At 36.8% G+C, this 7,479-nt stretch overlaps 1 protein-coding gene across 1 annotated transcript in view; it reads left to right on the forward strand.

The window, feature by feature from the left end:
• The window catches only part of HEPHL1 (hephaestin like 1), a 92,855-nt gene extending 85,987 nt beyond the window's left edge, over positions 1-6,868 (forward strand). The window contains exons 18-20 of the mRNA NM_001098672.2: positions 3,563-3,725; positions 4,197-4,265; positions 4,352-6,868. Coding sequence (NP_001092142.1) covers positions 3,563-3,725; positions 4,197-4,265; positions 4,352-4,554 — 435 coding nt within the window. The 3' untranslated portion in view covers positions 4,555-6,868. The remainder of the gene's footprint in view (positions 1-3,562; positions 3,726-4,196; positions 4,266-4,351) is intronic.
• Positions 6,869-7,479: the final 611 nt, after the last annotated feature.

Here is a 7,479-nt window from a genome sequence, read left to right on the forward strand (position 1 = left end):
AAAAATTATATTAAAAATTTATAAAATTTAATACACAAAATTATAAAAATTTACATATACACTTTAAAAATAAGATATAATTTACATTGAATACAATTCACCATATTTAGTGTACAGTTCTCTTTTGATAAGCACATACAGTAGTGTAACGAACAACAATCACAATATAGAATACTTTTATTTCCCCCACAAATTTTACCATTGCACCCTCTAGTGTCAACTACTTCCCCATACTTAACACTTGTCAACCACTGTCTCTATAGTTTTGCCTTTTTTGAAAGGTTATGTGGAAATCATAGGTTGTAGCATCTTGAATCTGGCTTGTTTGATTTAACATAGGCATTCAAATTGTATCCATCTTGTTATGTGTATCAGTGGTTTGTTTCTTGTGACTGTTGAGTAGTATTCCATTGTAAGGATATAATGCAGTTTGTTTATCTATTCTCCTGTTGAGGAACATTTGAGTTATTTTCAAGTTTGTTTATTACAAATCAAGTCATTACAAACATTTGTGCACATGTTTTTGTGTGAACATATGTTTTCATTTTCCTTGAGAAAATACCTAGAAGTAGGATTGCTAAGCCATGTGATAAGTGTATGTTTGATTTCATAAGAAACCACCAAACTGTTTTCCAAAAAGGCAGTATCATTTTGCATTTCCAAGGAAATATACGAGAACTCCATATGTTGCACATCCACATATGCAGTTGGTATTTTTAGTTTTTATTTCATTTTTTTCCCTTAGGCATTCCCTCCTTGGGGAGGGGATATAGTGGTATCTCATTGTTTTTCATTTACATTTTCCCAGTGGCTAATGATATTGAGCATCTTTTCATGTGTTTGTTTACCATCTGTCATCTGTAAATCTTTGGTGAAGTGTCCAAATTGTAAGCCCATTTAAAAAAATTGGGTTACTTGTTTCCTTATTGTAGAGTTTGAGGGCTTTATATATTCTGGATACAAATCCTTTTTCAGTGATGTGACTCACAAATATTTGCTTCCAGTTTGTGGCTTATCTTTTCATTCTCTTAACAGCTTTCAAATAGAAGTTCTTAATTTTTGATGAAGTAAAATGAAGTACAATTTTTCTTTTTTCTCTTTTATAGATCATACTTTTGGTGTCATGTATAAAAAATTTTGGCCTTACTGAAGGTCCCAAAAAAGGTCTCTGTTTTCTTTTAGAAGTGGTATAGTTTTAGATTTAGGGCTCTGATACATTTTAATTTTCATATGTGGTTCAAGATATGAAATAAGGTTCATTTTTTTTTCATATATATGTCCAAATGTTCCATCACCACTCATTGAAAAGATCATCTTTTTTTCCCACAGAATTGACTCTTTACTTTTGTGAAAATCATATTGACCACATATATGTGGGTCTATGTCTGGGCGGTCTCTTCTGTTACACTGGTTTATACTCTGCCCTTTCTTGAATGCCACAATGTTTTGATTACTTTAGTATTATAGTAAGTCTCAAAATCAGATGGTGATTGTTTTAGCTATTCTAGATGTTTGCCTTCCCAGATAAATTTTAGAAATAATTTGTTGATTTTGATTTTTAAAATCCTGTTGGGATTTTGATTGGTATTGCACTGAAGCTATACAATGGGTTGGACAGAACTGACATAACAATATTGAGGCTTCCAATCCATGAACATGGTATATCTATCGTTTAGCTCTTCTTTGATTTCTTTCATCAGCATTTTGTAGTTTTCAATATAGAGATCTTGCATATACTTTGTTTTATTTATTTATAACTAAGTATATAAAAGGCTTTGGTAATAGTGTAAATGATAGTGTTTTTATTTTGATTTATAGTTGTTTATTGCCAATATTTAGAAATATAATTGATATTTGCATGTTGACCTTGCATCCTGCATCTTTGCTAAACTCACTTTAGTTCCAATAGTTTTCCTATAGATTTTAGGGGGATTTTCTATGCAGACAATCATGTTGTCTGTGAATAGACATGGCTTCATTTATTTTCAATCTGTATGTCTTTTATTTCTTTTGTCTTACTGCAATGGCTAGGACCTGTAGTGCAATTTTGAATATGAGTGGTGAAAGTGGACATCCTCAGTTTGTTCTTAATCTTACAAGGGGAGCATTTAGTCATTCACCTTTGAATATAAAGTTAGCTGCAGCTTTTTTGTGGATCCCATTATGAGGTTGAGGAAATTTCCTTCTAAATTTGCTCAGAGTTTTGATCATCAACAAATGTTAAATTCTATCAAATGGTTTTTCTGCATCTATTGAGATGATCAGATGCTTTTTCTTCTTTAATCTGTTGCTGAATTACATTTATTGATTGTGGAGTTTTTAAACACTTTTTCATTCCCAGGATAAACCTTACTTGGTCATGATGTATTATTCCTTTTTGTGGAATTGATTTGCTAGTATTTTGTTATGGATGATGGTATCTATGTTCATGAGGAGTATTGATTGTAGCTTTTTTTCCTCACAAAGCATTTGTTTAGTTTTGGTATCACAGTAATGCTGGCCTCATAAAATGAGTTGGAACTGTTCTTTCCTCTTCTATTTTCCAGAACAGTTTGTTTACAATTGGTATTATTTCTCCATTAAATGTTTGGTAGAATTTGCCAATAAAGCCATCTGGAGTTTAATTTGTTGGAATATCTTGAAGCAATTACAGTTTCTTTAATAGATATAGTGCTATCCAGGTTATCAATGTATTCTTGAGTAATCTTCAGGAGTTTGTGTCTTTTAAGGGATTTGTTCATACCATCTAAGTTGTACAATTTTTGGATAAGAGGTGTTTGTCCAGTATTTCCTTTTTAATATTTGTAAGATTTTAGTGATGTCCTCACTTTCATTCTCAGTATTTTTAATGTGTCCTTTTCCCTTTTCCCTTGGTTAGTCTGTCCAGAGATTTGTATTAGTTATCTATTGCTGCATAACAAATTACTCTAAACTTAGAGTAATTCTTGGATCAGGAATTTGGGATTAGTTTAACTAGTTGGTTGATTCAGAATCTTTCATGAGGAGGCAATCAAGATGTCGACTGGAGCTGCAGTTTTCAAAGGTTTGACTGGAGCTGGAGGATCCACTTCCAAACTTACTGATATGGTTGTTAACTAGAGGGTTCAGCTCCTGATCATGTGGATAAGACATGAAAACTGGCTTCCTCCAGTGAGTAATCCAAGAGAAGAGGGTGACAGAGTATCTAACACAGAAGTAATGATAACCTAATCTTGGAATTGGAATGCCAGCACTTCTTCCACATGCTATTGATTTCGCATACCAACCCTTATACAATGTAGGTAGGAACCACAAAGGTTATGAATACCAGGAGGTGGGGATCATTGTGGGCCATCATGGAAGCTGGCTACTACAGAATTTATTGATTTTATTGATCTGTTCAAAGAATCAGTTTTAGATTTCTTTGACTTATCTCTATTGTACTTCTATTCTTGATTCCTGCTCTTTCTTATGTCCTTCCTTTTGCTTACTGTGGGTTTTATTTGTTTTTGCTCTTCTTTCTGTTCTTGCTGTTCTGAGCAAAGAAGGCTACTAGCTGTTGTTTTTTAAAACGTTTTTGCAGATAGATAAATCTTACCGAGAAGATGTGTATGATCTCTTTCCTGGGACATTCCAAACCATTGAACTGTTTGCAGATCACCCAGGGACATGGCTGCTACACTGTCATGTGTCTGACCACATCCATGCTGGCATGGAGACAACCTACACGGTCCTTCGTAACATAGGTACGGTTGTCTGTCAGTGATGCCAGATGATGGCACCGAGCTTCCTGTAGACCCCCAAAACAGGAGGCATGACAAAAACCCAGATATAGCCCTCAACAAGCTCAGAGTCAAGTAAGAGAGACATATATGTAAATATGTAACTATAATCAAGTATGCTATGTGCCGTAGCAGAATGCAGAGTACAGGGCTTAATAGCAGCAGTAGGAGTGAATGGGTAACAGTTGGAGGATATGAGCCAAAGTTTCACAGAGGCCATGATGCTCCAGATAGACTCAGTGGGTGAGCAGAAGTGGGAAAGACAGCTGGGGCAGGAAAGCATGTACATGGGAATGAAGTAGCACAGTAAGAATCCAGAAATGATTGGCAGATACTGATGGGATAAGTCCTCGCTGGTGAAATGAAATGACTAGTGTCATGAAAAGAATCCCCTTCTGTTGTTAATAAAACAATGAACTTGTTTTCTTTGTGCAGACAACAGGATTCCTTACTCCACCACATCTCCTGGAGTGGCATCTCACCCAGCCACGGTGCCATCTAACGGTAATGATACCCTCTCCCCATGTAAATGAGTCAACATTTCACCCCTCAAAAATGTCAGGGGCCTGACAAGTTTATCTTTTTCACAGAACGACCTGGCAAAGAGCAGCTCTATTTCTTTGGCAAGAATCTGGGTCCAACAGGAGCCAAGGCAGCCTTGGTCATCCTTTTCATCATTGGACTCCTCCTTCTAATCACCACGGTGATTCTCTCCCTCAGACTCTGCTCTGCAATGAAGCAGACAGATTACCAGCAAGTCCAGTCCTGTGCTCTCCCCACGGATGCTCTGTGAACCATCTGGTCTCCCTCAACAGGAAAGGGTGATGTCCCACAGCTGGCCAGATGGCAGCCAACAGGGAAACTGGACCAAGGCATCACTCACCAAGGAAGGTTGACACTGTATCCTGGATCAGCCTTCTGATCCTCTCAAACATCATCCAAAGCAATTTGCTTTTATTTATTTATTTTTAAATGGGCTGCGAATAATCCTCAGGTATAAAACACAGAAAAAGGAGAATGGGCATGGCTGAGAATGTCAACTCTTAGTCTATTCTTTGGTTGGATTCACTGAATAGGAGACACTCTGAAAGATATCTTTATATTCCATCTTTTATAATTCTTGAACAGTGCTTTCTTAGCTAACCACCAAAGTTTCTAGGTGAACAGCTTCTAGAAAAAGTTAGAGTGCCTCAGACATTTAACTGGAAGGGCACTACTTTTTCAACATTGTTGCATAACATGCATCCCTTGGTTCTGTGGAAAATATCTTTCTTAGGAGTTCTTGGCAATGTCTAAGTCAGTGTCTGCTGATAGAATTAGACCAAATAAATTTTTTGGAGGCTTTAACCAGCTCTCCTGGCCTTTTCCTCTTTGATATAAATAGCCTGTGCAGTGCTTGTTTTAAAAAGCAAAGTTATACGTTTTTTAAAAAATTGCTGCTGTTTTTATTCAAACCTGTAGAAATACTTGAATGTTTACAACTCACTTCATGTTACATGTTTTTACAATATGTTTCTGTGGCAATGTTTGTACTTTCAAAAATCAAGTAGAGAAATTGTATTTCTACTGCAGACTGTGGGAGGGCTGAAATCTGTAAAAGAACATGTTAGGCTCTCCCTTTATGAATCAGGGACTCCCTGAGAGTTTAGAGCAAGCTTTCTATCAGGGAGGGAAGCTTTGCAGGAGGCAAGTCTGGGCTTGAATTTGGAGTCTGATTTTTCATTCAGTTAGAGGGAATCTTTACAAGTCCTCATCTTCTATGAAATTATAACATTCTCATTGTATGAGAAACATCAGGAGGAATTTATCAATGTAGGTGACTAGATAGGAGAAGGGACCTCTAAATATCCTAGATTCTATGGCTTTTAAAGACATACCTCTTCATGGAAGGAGAAAAAAGGAAAAGGAAAGGTGAGAAAAAGATAATCTTGGTGGCAGATTCTCTTAAACCATTAAACCAGCTTTGAAAATTAATAAATAATTTCCAAGGTTCAAATGCAAAAAAATTATTGAACAACTAAACTCAACCCATTATGAGGCAATCTACACTGTCCATACCTATGCTTAGACAGTAGGTGTAAGATTGATAAAAGTAACATTGTTTATTACAAGACTGAGAAATTGCTTTTAGCTCTGGGCGAGATGCCCTGAGATTCCAATGCCAATGCTAGATGAGTGATACTGGTATGCCTGCCTTAGCAGTGGGTAATTTGAATGTCAAAGTGAGTGACAAGGACCTAAGAAATATTCTGGTGGAGGGACCTTTCACACTGTCTCATCTTCATCTTCATGAGGGGAAATGGGTAATTGGATAGAAGCTATAGTCTTAACATAAAAGGGGATGCAAATGCTAATAGTTCTGTTCATAGTTTGCTTGAATGTCATATCAAACAGCATACACAAAAGATTTTGAATTTCAATCTGCTAACCATTGACAATGTGATTTCATAGTACATGTTCTACAGTTTTCATACATGTGTAGGCTGCATAATTTCATAATTATGGTAAATGCCTTATTTATTACCCACCTTAGTAAGACAAGTTGTTCAGTTGTTTTTTTTTCTTTTCAGTTTATTTTTTTAATGAAAACAAAACCACAAAGTAGTTTGATTGCATCATTTATCATTTTAATAAAGTGTCACATAAGGTGGCTATTTGCATGGTTATTTTCACTTAAAATTATCTATCACTGAACTAGGGGAGGTGGTTAAAGTGGAATTAATTTTTAGATATTTAGGGGCTATGACTATGCCAATGACACTTGTTAGAGGAAATGAAACAAAATAGTGTATCTCCACAAATAATATGACTTCTCAAACATTGTTTCCTCAAACATAACTACACTCCTTGTTCTCAGCCTCACTCTTGAGAAAATCAACTCTGCCTTCACTTACACACATATTTCTTCCTATTACAATACACGTGTCCCTGCTCCTAGCAGGACAGTCTCTTCATTTGACTTTGGGTCTCATTGCTTCTTGCTTTCTCAAGACTTCATTCCCTTGGGTATCCATTTTTCCTCCTGCATCTTTCTATGAAACCATCAGCAATGTCCGCCATTAAAAACAGAAAGCAATGTGCTGTCTTATTTAACTCTATAACCCCCTCCGACACAGTTTCTCTCTTCCTTTGATAGCAGAACATAGAGGTATTCACACTTGGTGCCTGTACTACCTCACCCCATGCATTCCTCAGCCCATTCTGATGGCTTTCAATCCAGCGTGCCCAGCCCCCACACCCCAATCTGCTGTGGTAGAGATCACCAATCATGATGCCATTTCCAGTGGCTTCTTCTCCATCTTTATCTTACTCAACCTCTCAGCAACAAGAAACAGCTCCTTCCTTCTGAACACTCGGAGTCTCTAGTCCCTTGGCTCTGCAACATGACTCTCTGCCAGCCTTCCTTCTTCCTCAATGACTATTCCTTCTCAATCTCTTTTTCTAGTTCCTTCTCTTCTGTCTGACCTAAATGTTAGCATGCCTCAGAACTTGACACTGGGTCCTTTTTCGCTTTTTACCCTCTGTGGTAGGCTGAATATTGCCCCAAAGATGTCATGTCCTAATCCCTGAACCTGTGAATGTCACCCTATGTGGCAAAAGGGACTTTGCAGGTATGATTAAGGATCTTGAAGATAGGAAATTTATACTGGATTATCCATAATGGCCCTATATGTAATCATGAGTGTCCTTATGAAAGAGAGGCAGTGGGAGATTTGGC

Source organism: Homo sapiens, chromosome 11, assembly GCF_000001405.40.
Source record: "Homo sapiens chromosome 11, GRCh38.p14 Primary Assembly".
NCBI lineage: Eukaryota > Metazoa > Chordata > Mammalia > Primates > Hominidae > Homo > Homo sapiens.